General features: G+C 43.1%; 1 pseudogene; it reads right to left on the reverse strand.

Annotated features, from left to right (window-relative positions):
- Positions 1 to 18,537: 18,537 nt before the first annotated feature.
- Positions 18,538 to 23,205, reverse strand: LOC102724031 (ribosome biogenesis protein BMS1 homolog; annotated as a pseudogene).
- Positions 23,206 to 23,763: the final 558 nt, after the last annotated feature.

A 23,763-nucleotide genomic window follows, 5' to 3' on the forward strand; every position in this document is an offset into this window, starting at 1 on the left:
CATATTGAGGCCACTTATATATCTGGCTTCTGTGAAACAGCCTTGCTTAGCTCCACCACTCAGTTTTGGTCAAATGAACCACAGCAGGATCATGTGGACTTTCTGAGCACTGGTTTGCATGTATGAGTTGGACTTGGTGATCTCTTTGAGGTGTGTGGACATACTAAGCTAGTGGAAAAAGTGCTGAACAGACTGGGACCGGTGGCTCACGCCTGTAATCCCAGCCCTTTGGGAGGCCAAGGCAGGAGGATCTCTTGAGGCCAGCCTGGGCAACATAGTGAGACCTTGTCTCTCCAAAAAAAAATTAAAAATTTTTAAAATGGTGAACAAAAACCCACCTGTGTTCAATCTTGGCTCCTCCCTGGATAATGTACCCACTCCCAAGTGTAGGTGTTGGTAACTCTTGGCAGTACATCTTAAGCCCAGGTAGCACATCAACTGGAGTTCCAGACATTTCCCCAGTTGCCGCCTCAGATGTCTCTACCTGGCTGTCCCACAGGTGCCCGTCACTCCACCCGGCATCCCAGCCAGACACTTGGGGTCCCTGGGGTACTCCCCGAAAACCCCTTGTTCCTCAAAACCCCCAGACCCACTACCCCTCCAATGTTACCTCTCAGAGCTCTAGCACCCACCACTTCTCCCTCTCTGTGCCTCCTCCCCCTGAACTTCCTGCAAACTATCTCCACCCAGTAGCAAAGGAGCTTTTTGAAAAATGGAAATCTGACCACGCTGTCCCAGTTAAATGTTCTCCCAGGGCTTCCTGGTGTCTTGGGATGAAGATAGCATCTTAAAGCGGCCTCATCCCCTGCCTCTCTATTTTCCTCCCCAGCTCCTAGGACTCTCTGCCACTGTCCTGGCTCCAGCCACGCTGGCTTGCAGGCGTCATGCTGCCCTGTGTCACAGGCCTTTCCACATAACATTCCTGTGCTTGACACACTCTTCTGCTTCCCCAACTCCCAGCCTTTGCCGAGTTAACCAACTTCTGGTCATGGCTCAACCATCACTTGCTTCCCTAAGGAAGCCTTCTCCAACTTCCTACACCATGTGTAGAGCTGTGCAGTCCTCTACGGGACCACTGCCACATGGGGCCATTGAGCCCTTGAAATGTGCAACTGCTGCCGAGAACTGGACATTTTTTATTTTAATTAATTTGAATTTCAAACAAGTCACTAGGTTCAGTTACATTTGAAACAAGGGGATATACATCTATTTTTTCAACTGTGAATACTGTGAAATCTAAATATAGATTATTTCCCACAAAATTTAGATCTCAATTGAGAGATGTTTTAAGAGTACACACCGGGCCAGGCACAGTGGCTCATGCCTGTGGTCCCAGCACTTTGGGAGGTCGAGGTAGGCGGATCACCTGAGGTCAGGGATTTGAGACCAGCCTGGCCAACATGAAGAAACCCTGTCTCTACTAAAACTACAAAAAAATTAACCGGGCGTGGTGGCAGGCACCTGTAATCCCAGCTACTCCAGAGGCTGAGGCAGGAGAATCGCTTGAACCTGGGAGGCAGGTTTCAGTGAGCTGAGATCGTGCCATTGCACTCCAGCCCGGGCAAAAACAGCGAAACTCTGTCTCAAAAAACAAAACAAAACAAAACAAAACACTACACCAAATTTCAAAGACTTAGCACAAAACAGGAATGTCAAGTAGTTCAATAATCATTTTTATACTGATTCCATGTTATGATGGTATTTTAGGTACACTGGCTTTATTTATTAGTAGACAGGGTCTCGCTCTGTCGCCCAGGCTGGAGACCTACTGAATTCAGGTCATCCTCCCGCCTCAGCCTCCCGAGTTGCTGGGACCACAGGTGCGTGCCACCACTCCCGGCTTTTTTTTTTTTTTTTTTTTTTTTTTTTTTTTTTTTTTGTAGAGATAGGGTCTTGCCATGTTGCCCAGGGTGCTCTGGAACTTCTGGGCTCAATCGGATCTTCCTGCCTAGGCCTCCCAAGTAGCTGGGATTACAGGTGTGAGCCACCGCGCCCAGCCGGTATACTGGCTTTAAATGATAAAAATGTTCTGAACATTCACCTTCCGGTGTTGGCGCGCGGGGTGTGGCGCGGAGTGACCAGCCCTGCCCGGGCTCCTTTCGGCAGCAGGTGAAGCGGCTGCAGCGCGTTCTTTAACTTTCCCAGAAAGACCTACAGTTTGTAAAGCGCGTGATCTCATGCATGTCCCAGCCAGCCCAGCAGCTGGGGGTGCAGGGCCACGTCCAGTCTGGGACGCTGCAGGGGCTTCGCTCCTGGGTCCCACCTCCTGTGCATCCCAGGGCGCAGCGCGACAGTCCGAGGTCCTGCACGCCGTGGGGAGCCGCGCTGGGGGCGCCTCGGAAGGACGCGGTTCTCCAGCCCTTTCCGTGCCTAAACAGGACCGAGGCTGAGTTTCTTCGCGTGGGTGGAAACTAAAGCGGGGTTGGGGACTGGGCGCCGGCCACGGGTGCGGTTCCAGCAGCGGGAGCGGGTCCCAGGGCCGGGGGTGGGGGGGGGGGGGCTCAGGCACAGCGGGGGGCGAGGGCGCAGCGCCCGGAGCGCAGATCCCAGGGGCCCTCACCGCAGTAGGTGATGGAGGTGTGCAGCAGCGCCACAAAGCGTTCCACAGGGCACACATACAGCAAAGCAGCACGCTGTGAGCAGTGAAGATATGTAAGTTTGTCAATTAAACTTTCATAAAGCTGGGGAAAACAGAAGAAAAGGAACCATAACAAAAAAAAAAATAAAGCCGAGAAACATTTAAGAGATTTATTAGTTTGTTTTAAAATAACAGAAGCAAGCCCATTACATGGTAACATAAGTCGCATATTTTTGTGAGAAATGTTTTCCAAAGCAAAAAAAAAAAAAAACTGGGAAAATGGCGGTGCTTCAGTTGTGCGAGCTGTCATGTCCTAACACAGCTGCATCCTCAGCCCGCTGTCCCCCGGCGAGACGCTCCCACTTCCAGTGAAAAGAGATCAATAACGTCTCCTTATTGTCACGAAACATTCTTGACTCGACCTCACTCAGCTGCTGACAGGGTCGTGAAAATCCCAGGGGTCCCTGGACGGCACAATTGAGTGCCACTGGTTTTTTGGAGAAAAGTTTGGAGGAGTACTGGGGAGTTTGGAGAGGGTCCAGGGAAGGCCTCACCGACCAGTGGCCTCAGGGCCAGCATCAGAAGGAGCAGCAAGGAGGTAGAGGCAGGGAGGGGGACGTAGGAGCTGCCGCATTCCAGGCACAGGGAACTGCAAGTGTTGAGGACCCCAGGCAAGTGCACTGAGGAATGAAAGGCCACTGTGGCCAGAGCTGGAGGCAGCAGAAGAGAGGCCCTAGAGGAGGGCAGGGGCCAGAGCACCAGCGAGGCCAGACAAGGGCCGCGGCCTAGAAGCAAAGGGAAGCCATGGAAGGAGCCTCGGAAAGTGACATCAAGTTTGCATGTTTAAAAGCCACGCTCAAGAAGTGCTGTCAATCATTAGAGACAGGTATCAGCCAAATAATCACATAAATACTTTTAAAAAACTAAACAATAATTTGGTAATTTCTTGGCTATGACACTAAAAGCACAGGCAACAAATGAAAAAATAAATTGGACTTTATCAAAATTAAAAAAACCTTTGCACAACAAAGGACACTATCAGAGTGAAAAGACACCCCAAAGAATGAGAGAAAATATTTGTGAATGGTTTATCTGATAAGGGTTTAATATCCAGAATATAAAAAGAACTTCTACAATTCAACAACAACAAAAAATCTGATTCAAAGGACTTGAATAGACATTTCTCCAAAGAAGGTCTATAGATGGCCAATAAGCACACAGAAAGATGCTCAACATCACTAGTCATTACCGACATGCAGATCACAAGGAGATGCAACTTCACACTAGGATGCCTGTTTTTTAAGAAACCAATCAACCAACCAACAAAAAAACAGAGTAATGAGGGTGGTCTAGGCTATGGAGAAATTGAAACCCTTGTACGTATTGCTAGAAGGAATGTAAGGAATCCACAGCAGCTGTGGATACAGTGTGGCAGTTCCTCACACAATTAAACACAGAATGACATTTGACCCAGCAATTCCACTTTTACACACAGAACTGAAACAGAGACTCACACAGATATTTACACACCAATGTTCAAGCAACATTATTGCCAATAGCCCATACGTCCATCAGCAGATGAATGGATAAGCAACATGTGGTAAAGACATTCACAGGGAATATTATTCAGCCTTAAAAGGGAAGGAAATTCTGACACATGCTGCAACTGGACACACCTTGAAGACAGTATGCTAAGTGAAATAAACAAGACACAAAAAGACAAATATTGTATGATTCCATTTGCAAATGTATCTAGAGTAGTCACTCAGAGACAGAAAACAGAATGGTGATTGCAGGGGCTGGGGGAAGGAGGGAATGAGGAGATGTTGTTTAATGGGTACAAAGTTTCAGTTTGGGATGATGGAAAGGCTCTGAAGATGGCTGCAACAGCACTGTGAAGGTAATTAATGCCACCGACTCATACAATTAAAAATTGATAAAATAAGTTTTATTATGCATATTTTATCACAAAACAAAAATTGGAAAAAACCAACACACACAAAAAACAAACCCACCCCTCCCCCACAAAAAAGTTACAGGACAGGCCACCTGATCTAAATGTATGACACATCCTTCTCTCTCTACATGCCAGTTGGCAGCCTTATTTTAGAATGTCCAAACTTTGCTTAAGAAAAGACTTAAAAGATTCCTCCAAATACCCACCCAACCAAAGTTTATCTGATTTTCAATAATAAGGTACCATCCCCAAATATGAAATTCTAAGTCTCATAATAAAACACCTTTGGCATTTAAATGTCCAACATCTTAACCTTTTGTCTTGTTAAAGGATTATAAAAATGTTCAATACTTTAAAACCATGAAATAAACTAGGTAAAACTAAGAAGACACAAATAAAATACAATGTCCTTGCTGAAGACTCTGAATAATGGCTTTAAGAAATACCTGAGTCTGGCAAAATACTAGACACTAGAAGTCAGTACCAAGGGCAATTAAATCGATGCTCTTTTCCCGTCAGCGGGGTAAGCTCTGAAGCCTCCAGAGAGCTGAATCAGACCCGGTGGCTTTCCTGTTTGCTCAAACATTTATTTCTGAAATGGCAGCCATGTCACCAAATGATAATACTTAAAGCAAGTTCACAGGTTTTGTTAAAAAAAGAAAACAATCTAGTACATCCACAAATAGGAAACCAAACACACCTGAACACATCTATGATTAAATAAGAATATTTAATGGCATGGAAAGATACGTACACTATAGGTTCAATATGTTTTCAAAACATACCCAGCACCTATGGCTGCCTGTGCATAGTAAAAAGATAGAAAGGTATAACAGAATAATTTTTACAATTTACAAAGTTTAATGCAATTGAGAAAGGTTTCTATAAAAATTGTTAAAATAGTTCAGAGGGCAAATGCTTACTTTGCATAGCAATGCTTCGGTTACCTGGAATGCCCTCCCTTCTTTCTTCCAAGCAATTTTATGCCGCACGATGCTCAGTGGCTCTACTCTAAGTGCCAACAAGGTGAACAACCCAGTTCCTGCTCTCACGGAACTCACATTCTGGTGGAATTTATTTTTGCAACATACTTGTGGCAATATCAAATTAATAAGCCATTAGTATTGAAAAGTAATTTACACACTCTCCAGTCTGGTCCTTATTTTGATATATGTCTTCCTATGAGATGGATGCAAACTCACAGCAAAAACTATGTGTATACATATAGCCACATGCTGCACGACGTTCAGTCAAGGATGGACCACATATACGGCAGTGGTTCCACAATATTGTATTTTTGCTATGCCTTTTCTATGTTTCGATACACAAATGTTTACCACTCTGTTACAACTGCCTACAGTAGTCAGTACAGTCACATGCTGCCCAGGTTTGTAGCCTAGGAGCAATAGGCCATACCATAGAGCCCAGGTGCACAGTAGGCTGTACCATCTAGGTTTGCGTGTCACTCTATGATGTTTACACAATGACAAAATTGCCTAAATGATACATTTCTCAGAATATATCCCCATCCTTAACTGATGTGTGACTGTATTTTACTAACCTGGCCAGGTGGAACCTTCACAAATAAAAATTCTACATAGAAAATGCTATTTATTGTTTCTTTCAGACATTAGAGATTCCTTAACTTTAGTTTTAAATAATCTTGATATACAAACTTTTTATTTCCCTTGTTCTCCAAATATGATAAACCAAGATTTTTAATATTAACAGGTATGACTTCTGCCTACATACATTGTCTTTGGAAAAGGCAATTATCTGCAACTGTAATTAAACATTCTTTTATTTCCCCCATTGCTAAACAATTTCACTCTTCTGGCTAAAATATAAAACCATACAATTATAAATACTTATTTGCAAGGCTTCTCTTTGAACAAATTTGCTTGTTGTATAAGACACTTGCTGATCACCTTGTAAGCTACTTAAAACATGGTATGACTTAGAGTGCCTTGTATATTTTAGTTGAATTATAGTTTTGCATTTTAAAATATATCAATTATGCTATATAACAAATTAGTTTTAAATTATAATTGTTATGGGCTTACTATGTGTCAGTCCCCAGGCCTATCAGCATACTGGATGATCAAATTCACAATAGCTCTTGAGGAATAGAGGAAAATGTACACCCAGAGTTGCTCAGAGAGGTCTGGGCATGTTCCAATTGTCACTTCCCAAGTGGACCCAGCCATGACAGGATTTTCACATCCTCTTCCCTTCTTATGGAGATACAAAGCTGAGCACCTGTCTGCTGACAACTTTAGGTTTTTAGAGAGCCTCTCAGACTAGGGCCAACTGCTCATAATCCTGCCGACCCTCTTTGGCCCCTATGATGTTGTAAAGGCAATGTGGTACTCCTATCAGCAGCGCACATACTATAACTGGTACAACACAGAGGTCACCATGGGCCCCATGCACAGATGACACAAATTCATGAAGTGTTCTACATACATACATATATATATATAATTTTTTTTTTTTTTTGAAACAGGGTCTTGCCCTGTCGCCCAGGCCGGAGTGCAGTGGTGCTATCATGGCTCACTGCAGCCTCAACCTCCCGAACTCAAGTGATCCTCCTACCTCAGCCTCCCAAGCAGCTGGAACTACAGGTATGCACCACCACACCAGGTGAATTTTTTATTTTTTGTAGAGATGAGGTTTTGCCATGTTGCCCAAGTTGGTCTCAAATTCCTGGGCTCAAGTGATCCTCCTGCCTTAGCATCCCAAAGTGCTGGGATTACAGGCGTGAGTCACTGTGCCCAGCTGCGTTCCATATTTCTACACACCCATGCATACCTGGAGGAGTATACTTGGGGAAAGTAAAGCTGAGGAAAGGTGAATAAAATCAGTGGGCTGTATTGATGTCAACATCCTGATTGTGATATGTGTGAAACATTACCACTGAAAGAAATTGGGCAAAATATACAACTATATGTGAATCTATGATTACATCGTATAGGATTAGATTCCCCATAACTATATCAACATACAATCATAAAATACATATATCGCCTATGTAATAGTATGATTACATCAATATAATGTTTAATTTAAAAAAAGGCAATGTAGCTAGGCAGGTATAATGCATGAGCATAATATGGGAAGCCTATCTCACTGATACATACAATTTCCTTGGTCTCTGCACATGAGACAACAATCTCCTAAGTCTAAAGCTTTAAAAAAGTACTTACTGTTACCTTGTCACTATACTAATGTGCAGAACATATGACATAAGATAGAAAATGTCCACGAGGGCCAGTGATCAAAGGAACCCATAGATCCCAGGTGCATAGTAGGCTGTACCATCTAGGTTTGTGTGTCACTCAAACAAAAAACACAATAAAAACACTACACACTCTTCTCTAAAATTTTGCATGAGAGCTGAGGGTTCAAGTGAATATTTCTTTCTCTTCTGGAAGACTCCTCATGAAGGTGGTAGCATAAATAATTATCCACAAAGAATTGTCAGGCATTCATCCCTAATGAAAACTACTAAGCCAAAACTAACAAAAAAAAAATTTAATGGTATTTTTGCAGGACAAAATAATTAAACTGAGGCAGGCAGAGGAAAGTAAGAGAATCCACACAACCACAGCTTACATCACTTTAAATCTCAACAGCCCCAAGTGATGAGAATGAACCCGGTCCAAGTAGTTCAGGCTTCTCTGTTCCTCTTGCAGGCACAGTTTGTGTAGAGACATCTCTTGAGTTCTTGCCCACTGACTTGTCATTCACAGGCATTCAAACTGTGATGTTTGAAACTGTCCACCTCTGCAGATCCAGGGACAGTCCCTCCAGTCCAAAGGCTCACTGAAACTGGCCCTCAGCCCCCTTCAAACTGGACTTCTGGTTTCTTCTTTCCTTCTGCCCCTGAATTTGGAAGAGCTTCTTCCTGAGGTCCTTCTGCCGCTTCAGCTTCTCCTCCTCCTCCTTCTGCTTGGCTCTGAAGTGCTCTTTATTGTGCAGGTGCCGCTGCTCCTTGGCCTTCTTCATCTTCTGACTGTGCACCATACTCAGAGCATCCAGCAGTGCGAGGATCTGACAAGGACAAAAGCCGGTGAGTATCAGAATGCTCTCAGCCACCACACACTCACATCCTAAGCACTAAGACTAGAGGCAACCCACGATCCAAATGAATATTAACCGCATGAAAATGCATCCTGCGCTAGGAAGTCATTGTTGGCATGGAGACACAAGTGTGATCGCATTTTACCTTTACTACCTCTGTTCATCATTCTGTGGACACTGTGTGCAGCTAACCAAGACAGAAGGGTTCCCCAGTCATGTGCCTGTTATACCCCATCAAAAGAACAGGGCAGAGCAGGACCAGGCAAAGGAAGGGAAATTGACTCCAGCTCTTCCTCTGACTTTAGTTCCAGTGCCCTGAATAACTGAGACTGCAGTAGAAACAGGAAGTGTGCTACTGAGAGTGTTCTTTTCCTATCTAAATGCAGCGTGCAGTACGGCATGGGCGACAGTACCTTTCTTTCATGAGGCTCACGCATGACGGCCAGTCTCCGCCTGTCCTTTGCTTGGTTCTTGGGTTTGTTTTTTGTTTTTTCTTTTTTCTTTTTTTTTTTGAGACAGAGTTTCGCACTGTCGCACAGGCTGGAGTGCAGTGGCCCGATCTCAGTTCACTGCAAGCTCTGCCTCCCAGGTTCACGCCATTTTCCTGCCTCGGCCTCCCAAGTAGCTGGGACTACAGGCGCCCACCACAACACCTGGCTAATTTTTTGTACTTTTAGTAGAGACAGGGTTTCACCATGTTAGCCAGGATGGTCTCGATCTCCTGACCTCGTGATCCGCCCGCCTCAGCCTCCCAAAGTGCTGGGATTACAGGCGTGAGCCACCGCGCCTGGCCTTGGGCTTGTTCTTAAATGGCAGGGCCTTCTGCAAGGCTTTTGGAATGTGCAGTGAATTAAAATGTTTCTTTTGCCTCAGGATTGGCTGAAAAGAAAAATAAAGACTGTGACATATTCAAATTATGATCAATGTGCATTTAAAACTTCTGCATAAAATCTTCTCATTGGGTTGACTTTTCCACAAGATCAGTAACACCAGAGTCTGCTGGCCCTGAGAAATCAGGACTCAATCATCCGCCAAGTATGAACTGCCTCAGTGGACACCCAAATTCTCACTAAACAGTAAACAGAGGTACAGAGAGCTTATACTTACAACTCTCCCCCCGAAACCCACTGTGTCTATTTCTATGGTATGGAACTATGTCTCAACAGAACAGATGAACAGATCCCAGTTTCTTTTCATGGAAATTTCAGGCCTTGTCTTTGGGCCACTAAGGTGCTTAGTTCTCAGGCTAACAAAAATAATCTAGCTTTTTGTCTTGACTACCAACCACTCTGGATTTTTTTTTTTTTTTTGAGATGGAGTCTCGCCCTGTCACCCAGGCTAGAGTGCAGTGGTGTGATCTTGACTCACACAACCTCCACCTCCCAGGTTCAAGCAATTCTCCTGTCTCAGCCTCCCAAGTATCTGGGACTACAGGCACACACCACCACGCCCGGCTAATTTTTGTATTTTCGGTAGAGATGGGGTTTCACCATGTTGGTCATGCTGGTCTTGAACTCCTGACCTCAGGTGATCCACCTGCCTTGGCCTCCCAAAGTGCTAGGATTACAGGCATGAGCCACCATGCCCAGCCCACTCTGGATTTAAGGACAGTTCTTCCTCCAATCAGCAGCCAAAGAGTCCTGATTCCTGATTCTAATTAAGAAGTTTAAGTTGGTATTCTATTTCTGATGGAAGGTTGGCTAAAAGAAGGGAGACTCAAACAACAGATGAAGACAAAATACTCTGTACTGAATTTTCAACATAATCTTAAATTCTATGTTTAATTGAGATGACCCAAATTCTTTTTTTTTTTTTTTTTTTGATATGGAGTCTTGCTCTGTCGCCCAGGCTAAAGTGCAGTGGCATGATCTCGGCTCACTGCAACCTCCGCCTCCCGGGTTCACACCATTCTCCTGCCTCAGCCTCCCAAGTAGCAGGGACTACAGATGCCCGCCACCACACCTGGCTAATTTTTCGTATTTTTAGCAGAAATGGAGATGACCCAAATTCTTAACTGCCTCATAAATACTGTTAATATATTGAAAGTTTTGCCCTAAGCTTTTTATTAAAGTCAACTATATAGAAAAAGTTTCTCCTGTCTTGAAATGTATTATTAAAGACATCATCCCTAATAATATTCCATATTCTCTGTTTAGGAACCCCAGTTGTTTTCAAATTCAAGAATTCAGAGAAATCTACTTGTTACAAAAGAGTAGAATGGATAATGGGCACCACATCCGGAAGTGTATTTTAATAAAAATTCATGTAAGATGGTTCAAAATTTCATTAACTACTTTATATAAAAAGAAATGCCTGGGAGACTTCTGTTTCTAGCAGAGTGGCAGAGTGATGCCTTGAACAACCCTCTTATTACAAAACTGAATACTCCACATGAAAACAAATCTTTTCAAATGCATTGTTAAGCTGTGAAGAGAAAAACAAAAGTTCTAAGAAACCAAAATCTAAATGAAAACACAAGTCCAGGCAGGCACTGAAAACTTAAAAAAAAAAAAAAACTCAAGAGGCCAATTGTTGGCAAGCATGTGGAACAGCAGGAACTCTTTAAGCTGCTGCTGGTGGTGGAGGCCAAGCCACTGTGCTCCCAGAACACGACACAGAACCCTCCACACTGAAGCAGAGCACAGGTGCCCTGGAGTCTCCACCCCACCCAGGGATCCCCCAGCAGAAGTGCGTGTGCCCCTGCATACCTGCAAGTCCCATATCCAGACCTAGTGTTCAGGGCCGTGGGATAACAGCCAAAAATAGGAAATCACTTTACTCATCAATGGAAAAATGGTGACACAGTCATATAATGGAACTCAACAATGACAATAAATCAGTATCTGCCATAGACAAGAACACAGATGTATTCTGTAATACTGAACCAAAGAAGCCAGGTTAAATAGAATATGCTGTATTTTATAGAAGTCAAAACCAGGTAGAACAAATCTACATCAGGAACTGGGAAAGTAGCTATTTTGTGGGTTGGGGCAGCAGTGCCTGGGAGAGGCCACAGGTCAAGGCTACTGCTTGGTCCAGGGCGTGGCAGCCTGGTGTGCTATAGTTCATCTAGATGCACACTTATGATTTGGGCACTCTTCTGTATGGACATTAACATTTCAATAAAAAGCTTATTAAAACATTAAAGCTTTCAGAAAAATCCACATTGCTTCAGTAGAAATTAGCACATTAACATTTAAAAAAATACATGTATACGGTGGGGGAAAAAATAGTTCAAAAGAGTACCCAGTGAAAAGTTTAAGAGGGAGTGACGCCAGCAAGGGGCTGATCAATAGCCCCTTGCACTCATCCCCTGACAAAGACAGCCAAAGCAGCAAACAACTATATTTTGATGAAAGTCACTAAAAGAGAGCCCCAGAGTGCATCAAGGAGTAGCAGAAATCCAGTAGAGCACAGAAAACCAGGATGGTCACATAAAGGAGGGAAGGAAACATCTGGCCCCCACCACCCATTCCCCCAGAGGGATCAGCCTGAAGCAGAGGGGATGTCTCCCTGCAGGGATAAGGAAGCAAGAGGGGCCCAGTAGCCCCAGCACTCCCCTCAGAGAAGGAACTGACATTGTGCCCCACCCCCATGGACCAGCTGCTGCTGCAACGTGCCCTCCTGGACCTGGACCACTTCGGGAGCATGTCCCACCCAGGGTGAGCAGCCACCGCACCCTTCTTCCATCCTCAGGCTTTGTTGCTCTATATCACACCCACCTAGTGGCCCACCACCCCCGAGCCACTGTTACACTGTCTTAGGCCATTTAGTGTGGCTGTAACAGAATACTTGAGACTAGGGGTAACTTATTTTATAAAAAAGGTTTATTTGGCTCACCCTGCTTGTGTCTGAAAAGTCCGAGATCGGGCAGCACAACTGGCGAGGGTCTTGTGCTGCTTCATCTCATGGGGAAAGTGGAAGGCGAAACAGGTGTATGCAAGGGGCTCACATGGCAAGAGAGGAAACACGAGAGTCTAGGAAGCTGAACTCACTCTGATAACAATCCACTCCTGGTAACTAATCCAGTCCCATGAAAAGGCATTAATCTATTCATAAAGGATCTGCCCTGTGACCCAAATACCTCCCACTAGGCCCCACCTCCCACACCACCACATTTGGAATCAAATTTCAAATGGATGAAATTTCAAATGGCTGGTGGGAACAAATGATGTCCACATCACAGCATACACCGCACCTGCGGGGCCACACTGCTGTGCCCCTCCCCTCCCAGCTGCCATTGTGCCCTGCCCCTTGGAGCCTGAGCTGACTTGGTGCCCTGCTTTCCAGGGAATCAGTGCCTTGGCCAGTCTGAGCAGTCACACCCCCCACTGCACGAGAGCTGAAGCACTGCCCTGCTTCACAGGGAATCAGTGTCTTGGCTGAGCTGAGCAGCCACACCTGCCAGGGATGAGCCAACATGGCACCCCCATATCCCGGGAAAACAGCATTGGCTGAACTGGGGTACCTTGCCCTTCAGGACAAACAACTGTAGAACCCTGCTTCCTTGGAACTGGACTAGCCCTGGAGAATCTGAGTTGCCCAGGCACCTGCCTCCCCAGGGAGAGAAGTAGTTGCTGCACTGGTCCCTGCCCCCGAGGGCCCAAGCCACAGTCGTGCTCCACCATTCTGGGGTCCTTGTTGATGCTGCGCCTGGTCTCACAGAGACTGAGGTGCTGCTGTGTCCCATCACTGCAGGGTCCAGCGTCACTATCATGTCACTCCCATGTCCAGAGTCACTCCCATCCCCTGGAGTTTACTTCTTAAACTCTTCGCAAAAACAGAGCGAGAGGAAATAATTCCAAACACATTTTACCGGGCCAGTATCACCTTAATACCTAAGCCAAACCAAAACACACACACACACACACACACCAAACAAACAAAAACTACAGGTCAACTTCTCCAATAAATTAAACACTGATGCAAACATCCTAAAAAATTTTTAGCAAATAGAATTCAACAACACATCGAAAACATTATACATCGTGTTTAAGTGGGATTTACCCCTGGCATGCAAGGCTGGTTAAAACTATGTAAATCAATCAATGTGATATATCACATTAACAAAATGAAAGATAAAACGACATGGTCACCTCAATTGATGCAGTAAAAGCATTTAACAAAGTTTAGCAACCTTTCTTGATAAAACCTCTTAATAGTTTATGTATAGAAGGAAAGTTCCTCAACATAATAAAGACCATTTATGAAAAAAACAGTCTAATCATAGTTAGTGGGGAACAACTAAAGCTTTTCCACTAAGATTGAGTACAAGATAGGGATGGCCAGCCTCATCACTTTTATTCAGTAGAGTACTTGCAAGAGCAATCAGATGAGAAAAAAAAAGGCAACTAAATTAAAGAAGTAAAATTATCTCTATTTGCAGATGACAAGATCCTTTACGCAAAAAACTCCAAAGATTCCACAAAAAACTGTGAGAACTACTAAATCAATTTAGTTAAGCTGCAAGGTATAAACTCAACATATAAAAATCAGTTGCATTTCTATATACAAATAACCTAGCTGACGAAGCAATCAAGAAAATAATCTCATTTACGATAGCATCAAAGAAAAACAAAAACTTAGGAATAAATTTAACCAAGAAGGTGAGAGATGTGTACACTTGAAAACCATAAAACATTGATGAAAGAAATTTAGACATGAACAAATGGAAAGACATCCTATGTTTATGGATCAGAAGAATTAATATTGTTAAAATGTTCACACTACCCAAAGCAAATATACAGATTTAACACAATCCTCATCAAAGTTCTGATGGTATTCTTCACAGAACAGAATAAAACAATCCTGGCCAGGCACAGTGGCTCACGCCTGTAATTCCAGCACTTTGGGAGACTGCAGGTGGGCGGATCACAAGGTCAGGAGTTGGAGACCAGCCTGGCCAACATAGTGAAACCCTGTCTCTACTAAAACTACAAAAATTGGCCTGGCATAGTGCCATGTGCCTGTAGTCCCAGCTACCTGGGAGGCTGAGGCAGAAGAATTGCTTGAATCCAGGAGGCAGAGGTTTCAGTGAGCCGAGATTATGCCACTGCACTCCAGCTTGGGCGACAGAGTGAGACTTTGCCTCAAAAAAAAAAAAAAAAAAGAAAAGAAAAAACAATCCTGAAACTCATATGGAACCACAAAAAACCCCAAACAGCCAACAGATTACTGTGAAAGAAAAAGTTGGAGGCATCACACCTCTTGATTTAAAATTGTATTACAAAGCTATTGTAATCAAAACAGTATGGTGCTGGTATAAAAACAAAAAAATAGACAAATGGAACAGAACAGAGACCTTTGAAATAAATCCAAACATATACTGTCAACTAATTTTTGACAAGGGCAAACAAGACAACACAATGGTAAAAAAGATAGTCTCTTCAATAATAGGATTTTCACATGCAAAAGAATAAAATTGGACCCTGATCATACACCATACACAAAAATCAACTCAAAACAGATACAAGACCAAAGACCCAAATAAGACCTGAAACCATAAAACTCCTAGAAGAAAACATAGGGGGAAAGCCTCTTGACATTGGCCTTAGCAATAATTTTTTGGATATTGCACCACAAGCCAGGATACAAATGTAAACATAAACAAGAAGGACTGCATCAAACTAAAAAGCTTCTGCACAGCAAAGGCACAACCAACAAAATGAAAGGGGAACCTACAGACTGGAAGAAATATTTGCAAACTACATATCTGATAAAGTGTTAATATCCAAAAATCAGTAAAGAACTCTTACAACTTAATAGTAGAAAAACAACCCAGTTGAAAAATGGGCCAAATAGGAAATGACCAATAGGAAATGGGGAGATGTACATTAAAATAATACAAAGTAGCAGACATGTAGGATGAACAAGTTAGAGATCTAGTGTACATCATGAGGGCTATAGTTAATAAAAATATATTGTCTTTGGGATTTTTGTTAAATAAGTAGATTTTAGCTGTTCCTGTCACACAAACAAAAATCTAACTATGTGAGATGGTAGCTATGTTAATTTGCTTCACTACAGTAACCAGTTTACTATCTATATGTATCTTTTAAGATCATATTGTCAACCTCAAATATATAAAATAAAATTTATTTTAAAAAAGAAAAGTTTGTCTTCAATCCAGAAAGAACCACTATTACCCTTTTTTGGTGTTCCATTCCAAAATATCCCACAAATATACAATTGTTCAATCAAATTTAATGTTAGACTTTATACTCGAATATTCAAAGTACATAAGAAATTATAGAAAAGTGTCTGTGTGACTCCCTGTCTGTAGAGCACAGCCTTCATCTCCACTAACACACACACGACCAGTACCTTATACAGAGAGTCCTTGTTTGCCTTTAGTCTGACACCATGGGTGAGCCTGAGTTGGCCCGTGGTCCACGTTCTTGACCAGGTGTCCTTCTCACCCACTGGTTTCAACAAAGATGTTACTGGGTTATAGAAGGCTGGGATGGAAACAGGATACCAAGTTCGCGTGAAGACAATATCCGAAAAGAGGTAATTTACTTCAACATTTTCAAAGGAAGATTCATATCCATACTGCAAAGAAACAAAAGAACAAAACCTTCACTCCAAACTTCTCTACCTGGCTGCAAAGTATTTGAAGGGAAAGCTCGCTAAGGAAACTATTCTCATAGATCACAGAACTGTTACTGGGTGTGGCCAGGGGACTGCAGACACAAAGCGAATGGGCACACCGCATAAGACTGGGAGATCTAAGGCTGGAGCTGCTCAACTCTCTGGAGACCTGACTCCAGCCTCTCGTCACACTGGCTAGAAGTCAAGCATGAATGGTAATACCCTGCCCTGAACACTACTTAAGACACTCACCGCTCATCAGCAGCTTATCCTCAAAGCTGGCCTGGAAAGCTCCTTCTGGAGCTCAGAGTGCTTTCTTGATCTGCCCCCTTATCCCACTGACAGTTTGAATCACAGCACCTTCAAATTTGGCCACTTCCAAGGCAGAATTAAATATTCCCTACAGGTATAGCAAGATAAACACACACACACACACACACACACACACAATCATATACTTTATGCTTTACTTCTTACTTCAAACATACATCCTTGATTAAAGAACAAAAACAACTCACTGAAGGGTGATAAAATAATCAAAATGTATTTGCCCCTGAAAGTGGAATTACTACCTCAAAAAGAATACAACTCTTTCATTTTCCCCAAAATAATCATGTGAGTTCATGGGCATGCTCATCACTGCTGTCTGTGTGGAAGAGAAGATCGAAGAGGGATTTACTGGACTGAACTGGCCTAGGAAGCCTTTGCTGGCATCTCTCAGACTGGACTGCAGCCCAGATCCTTTTACTTAGATGCATGCACTTAGAACATGAAAACAGTAAGATAAACGCCGGTGGTATTATTACTTTATATTCCAATAACATTTTAAGACTTCCTAACTCTGTGTTTTCAATAGAAACATCCCCACTAATGAAATTGTCAATATATGTGCTCAAACCACCCTCCCCAAATACTGAAAAACAGTACATCCGTTTCTCTGTACCCTTGCCAAGTTGTCTGCAAATGCTTTGTCAATTTTTCTACTGAGTTAGACAAACTTGTGATTTTTTTCCCTTTCTTAACACAAATTTAAAAAGTAGGAAACAAAACCTAGTGCATAAAATGACATATTTTCAATATGAGTTATGTGGCAGTCTCACATGGAAGTCAGGAGTAACAGCCTCAATTCCTAAATAGCTGTTTACCTCTGCTTTTTTGAGCATATTTAAGTAATACAGAATATAAAGGAGCAAACAAAATATGAAGTTTATAAAAGATTTCAAACACTTTTCTAAAAATATGAGGCCCATATTTTAGATGTATTTCATTCCTTTTCTCAAATAATATGGACATTTATAAATATGAGAATATATAGATATACAGACCTTAATAAATGAAGTGTTCTTGAAAATTTTATATGGAAAACCAGTTGGCTTTAATTTCTTCACAATTTTTATGGATTTATCCAGATCAAGGACAACTCCTGTGGCAGCTATGCGAAAATCAGGCTAACAGGAACCCCAAAATTTGAAAATAGGAAAAATATTAGCAAGAGAAAAACTTCAATTCTATTTGACACAATAAATTACCAAAGTGAATTTTACTTACAATTAGCTAAGAAAAACAAGAGAGACCATCTGAACTTGCAACCCAGTGGTTTGACAAAAGCAATCCAAAACTTTAAAGTTGGTAAGCCAAACTAACAAGAGTGACTTGAGGCCGGGCACAGTGGCTCATACCTGTAATCCCAGCACTTTGGGAGGCCAAGGCAGGTGGATCACCTGAGGTCAGAAGGTTGAAACCAGTCTGGCCAACATGGCTAAATCCCGTCTCTACTAAAAATACAAAAATTAGCTCAGCATGATGGTGCACACCTGTAATTCCAGCTACTCGGGAGGCTGAGGCAGGAGAACCACTTAAACCCAGGAGGCAGAGGTTGCAGCGAGCCAAGATCATGCCACTGCACTCCAGCCTGGACGACAGAGTGTGACTCTCTCAAAAAAAAAAAAAAAAAAAAAAAAAAAAAAAAAAAAAAAAGGCTACTTGAGTACTTTCCTGAGAGTGATTTCAGAGGAATGTAATTTTACTATAATGATTTATTTGGAACGAAATGGAAAAGAAAAATACAGTTGCAATGTTTAGGAAACTAAAATTTGGACCTCCAGGGAAGATTCCATCTGCTCATTATTCTGCTTCCTTCTCTGTTAAATGGGACCAGTAAACCCTGCCCTGCCTGACTGGTCAAATGAAAATGGAGTGAACAGACTGCTACCCCAGCACAGCTGCAGGGAGTCTTGTATCTGGGTGGTCTCTGATGGCTCCTCACAACCTCATATAGTGCTTAGCACATGGTGAGCACTGCTTAAGTATCTCCTTAGATAAATAAATGCAAAAGATGCACAAAAATAGGAAATGTACCATCATAATTCTTCCACCTCCCCTCCTCTAATCCCACACCCTACTGAAAAGGATGTACAAAGATTAAAAGCAAAGGGAAATTTACTTTATATTAATAAAAATGTGTAATTTTCAACTTAAAGTCTGATGTACATAATAACCCACATTCAGGATATATTTCTCAAACCAATCTGTAAAAGAAATCATCCAAGATAGTTACCATTATGCCACTGACAGACTGTATTGCCAAGAAACCAGTTCCCTGTGGAGTGACAGGGTCTTAAAGGAAAAGGAAAAAAAGAAATATAGCAAACCACAAATTTTAGATTCTAGTTTAACATACTGGATATGGACATTTAGATTTGGATATAGATTTACATATATACTCCAAACCACCTCCCTGCTCCCAGAAAAGAGAAAAATCTTAGGAGTGGAATTTTATGAAAGGAAAAGCAAAAAGCTAAAATAACACAGCCTGTAAGGTTTAATCTCGGCAATAGGCAAGTTATTGTAATCATATTTTACTCCAAAAGGCTGCTCCGCAATGCATGTGTTGTGGGGTATACTTTAGAAGCCTTTGTCTTCCATTATGGTCTTCGATATAATACAGCGGGATGGTCTGAAACCTCCTCCACCCTACAGAAAATATGATTGGATCTCGGGACTTGAGGATTTTCTTATACCAGCGATGTTTCTTCAGACGCATCTGAGGGGGATGAGAGTGTAAGATGATTGATGGAGGGGAAATCCACAGAGCCTCAGGCACCAAATATGCAGCAAAGGGACCCACCTGCACGTCTCCAACATTTCCCTCACTGTTGCCCAAGCCACCCAGGATAATGGGGTAATGGGGGTCAAAGTTCTGCACAAATTCACAGGGAACATTTTCAATCTCAACGCGGACGTACATCCCAGGTCGAAAACACTCATAAGGAACTCTGGCTTCATCATCTTGATCTTCAAATTCTGTGCGATTCAGCTGTACATGACGGGGGGAAAAAAACCTGTATGCTGTTATCTGTAATAAACATAGGATTAACATGAACAAATGAGCAATTTCTAAGTAAAGGAACTGTGGACAGAATTATGTAGGCTTTATCCTATTAAAAATACTACACATTTGGCCGGGTACAGTGGCTCATGCCTGTAATCCCAGCACTTTGGGAGGCTGAGGCGGGCAGATCACATGAGGTCAGGAGTTTGAAACCAGCCTCGCCAACATGGTGAAACCCCATATCTACTAAAAATACCAAAATCAGCTGGGTGTGGTAGTGCGTGCCTGTAGTCCCAGCTACTCAGGAGGCAGAGGTGAGAGAATCGCTTGAACCTGGGAGACGGAGGTTGCAGTGAGTCAAGATCATGCCACTGCACTCCAGCCTGGGCAATAGAGCGAGATTCCATCTCAAAAAACAAAAAAACAAAAAAAACCTACACATTTTACCTCTACAGTCTGTTCAGAATATGTCTCAACCGTTTTCTTCTCTCCTGCTACAAGGCACGGCAAATGTAGATAACTGTGGAGCCCTGCGTGCTTGAACACTGGAAACATCCCCAGTCCACACCTTCTTTCCTTCCTCTCCAAATAATTCTTTCACACTTTTCCCTTGTCTTCAAACACCCACCACCATCCTCACCTTCACTCAGCTGATGGCTGTTTCCTGATTCACTCCAAAACCAAAAGAACCTCTACGGTCAACCCTCTACCAGGGTTTCCTCCCATATCCAGCCTTATCAGAGCTCTGACCTGGCCCATAGAGGAGCTATGTGTGGCTATTTAAATTAAAATTAATTACAATTACATAATATTTAAAATGCAGTTCCTCAATCACACTAGTCACACTGGAAGCGGCCCATATCAACCTGCGGCCAGTGTTACAATATTGGGAAGCACAGACGTGCATCTCCATGATCACAGAAAGTTTTATGGGCAGCTCAGGCACAGATGATTTGTCCATGCCTCTACTCAGGGCCACACATCACTTGCTCACTAGACACCATCCACTCTTCCTGGACTTTATTCCAACAGCTCTTCCCTCTGTTCTCTCTCTTTTCTCAAAACCTTTTGATTCCACTTCTTCCACCAACAACTGCTTCATTTCTCTGCTTCTCTCTGCAGCAAAACCCCACAAAAGTTTTCTGCAGTTGCAGCCTCCAGTTCCTCTGCTCCCATTCTCCTACATCCATGAAAATTGGTGTTTGCCAAGATCGCTGAAGGCCTCCACGCTGAAGGACTCCTCCAGTGGTCAACTCTGCTTTCACCGTAGTTAACACAGCAGGGGATCTGAACGGTGCTTCGCCTCTGTGTACAACTGGACTCCTGTGTGCCTGCATGCTCACACTGCTTCTCCCTCTCCCTCCTAGGCACTGCTCAGGCCTCACGGCCGCAATCGCCCCATCTCGCCCATGCCAGTCTTGCTCCTCCCAGTCACTCTGCACTCACTCCCCGGCCACCTCACAGCGTTAAGTGGCATCTACATGCTGAGGGCTGTATATCTAAGTCCCTGGCCAGACCTGTCTCTCCAGACTTGACACTCCGCTTGTCTGCATGATACCCAGCCGAACCAAACATCATCTTCCCAAAACTACATCTGCAGAGGGTTTCCTATCTAACCTGCAACAACCCATCCTTCCAGGAACTTCCAGTCGCCATCCTCATTTCCTCTCACACACCCCACATTCAGTCCACCAGGAAATCCTGCTGAGCCAGCTTCCAAATAAACTCTATCCAGGTTTGACTCTTTGTCTCATCTCCACTGTCAGCCCTCTGGTTTGTGCCACCAGACTGATCTCTACCAGACTGATCTCTTGGCAGAGTGATCTGATTACCCGAATGTCTCTCTTCTGCTCAAAACCCTCCAAGGACTCCCATTTCAGAGTGAAACATTCAGTCTTTTCCAATGGCTCACAAGGCTCTGGGTAGTTTTAAATTGTAAATGGTGTGAAGCAAAAACTTCAGTTAGCCTAGTCATGCCTTTCAAAGGTCAACACAGACTAGCAACCACTAAGCTAATGCTTAATCAGGAAACAGTACTTTGACTAGATGAAGATCTAGGATGAAACTCCATTTCACAAATCATATACCTAATCTGTTCCAGCTTACACAGGCACTCCTGGCCTCGCTAACAAGACACAACTCAGATGCTTACCATCAACTGTACACATGTTTCTGTGTCTGTCTCCTTCAGAGTGAGATCACTGCCTCCAACAACCTGCTCAGCACCCCCAGGCAGGAGGGCCACACCATCTCCCTTATCTCCGCATCTGACCTTATACTCCACATGTCCTTCTGAACTCTGACCAGGATGAGTTTTCAGAGCACTTCCCCTGGGAGCTCTGGTGTGTCCATAAGCCACACAGGCCACTGATCACCTGCCACTCAAATCAGGGAGCAGCGATCAGAATAGGCAGCATTGGCTTGCACTGAAATGAACACACTGTCTCAGATCACTACATTGTAAAAGTCTCAAAAGTAGAGACCATGTTTCAGTCATTTCGGTTTCCTAATTCTTGTTACAAAATAGATATGGATCTTTTTCTGGTGACCTTCTGACTGTAGAAACAATGAGCTCACTGCATGAATAAACACACTCACATACATCTACCCAGGAGTCCAAATGAAAGGCACAGAAGCAGGATAGGAAGCAGGGACCCAAAGAAAGTCAGGGATTCCTGCACTATGTGACAGTCTTGACAAGGGGCTGAGAGGAACTGAGGTTTCTCACCTGTGCTTGTTTCTGCATTTCTCCTTTAAGATCATCAAAATATGTGCTTTCTCCTTCATCATATTCCTCATCAAACATCTCCTTCAATTTTCTCTTCTTATCCAAATGCTTTTTCTTGGCACTTTCTTCTTTGTCGGGGTCAATTTCTTCCTTGTTTCTCTATATCTTCATTCTTAAATTTCCAGAAGAAAAAATTTTGTGTATGTTTATGAAGGTCTTTTCTTTAAACATTAGATTTTTTAAAGTTCTATTTAAACAAAAATCTTAGCAAAAATCTGTTACCATTATCAATAAAACGAAACAAACCACAACACAACCTTTTTTCTCTGAATAACATGGTACTGCTACAGGAAATTGTTACATCTGCATTACAATTAGCTGCTATTCCTTAAGCTGGCTGGGAACACAAACTAGAATAAAAATAACAGACATGTCCCTCACCCAGATGTTCCCAGAACCTGTTCTAAAGAAATATTAGGGAGAACAGGGACTTCATTCATTTAAATGACACTTAAAATTAAAAAGAGGAGAATGATGGCAATGGTTGAATGTAAGTCTGAGAAGCTAAGACTTCTGTGAGTGAAAAATCACAGTGGACTTGGCAAATGACTATGGCAAGAAACAGTAGTAACTGTCATCCAAAACTTAACAAGTAAACAAGAAAGCTTCTCTTTGGTCCCCACATCCCCACCCTTTAGGAAGGAATCTATCCATCCAGTCTGCAATCTTCACACATCACAAGTAAGATTTGCATTTCTCAATGTGGGCCTCTCTCAGAACACAATGACCAAGAACAGCCAGCTACGACAAAGTCATACCTGAGTATCGGGGCCCGATTTTCCCTTGTGCACATCCCCTGTTTCCAAGTCTTCAAAGTCACCATAGAGCTCCTCTGGGAAAAGAACACCCAAAGGCTGCTCTGTGAGCCAGGCATGCATGTGCTGCTGGCCCCACCCACAACAGGCCCACAATGCGCTCCACGTTCCAAGCCTCATTCTCACTGTTCCCGTCACTACACACACAGGCAAAACTTTGCACTAGGGAATGCTTCGTAGAACAGTTAGTATTTCATCATCTGTTTAGGTAAACTAAATGGACCCAATCCACATTTCTGCACTTCATGTCAAAATCCCAATCTCAATTTTTCCAGTATAGATAATGGACACTCTTTTGTTTTTGTTTTTGTTTTTTAGGAGATGGAGTCTCACTCTGTCACTCAAGCTGGAATGCAGTGGCATGAACTCAGCTCAATGCAACCTCTGCCTCCCAGGTTCAAGCAATTCTACTACCTCAGTCTCCCGAGTAGCTGGGATTATAGGCACCCGCCACCAGGCCTGGCTAATTTTTGTATTTTTAGTAGAGAGGGAATTTCACCATATTGGCCAGGCTGGTCTCGAACTCCTGACCTCGTGGTCTGCCCTCCTCAGCCTCCCAAAGTGCTGGGATTACAGGCATGAGCCACTGCACCCGGCCAATGGACACTCTTTATGAAAGAC

This window comes from Homo sapiens, assembly GCF_000001405.40.
Source record: "Homo sapiens chromosome 16 unlocalized genomic scaffold, GRCh38.p14 Primary Assembly HSCHR16_RANDOM_CTG1".
NCBI lineage: Eukaryota > Metazoa > Chordata > Mammalia > Primates > Hominidae > Homo > Homo sapiens.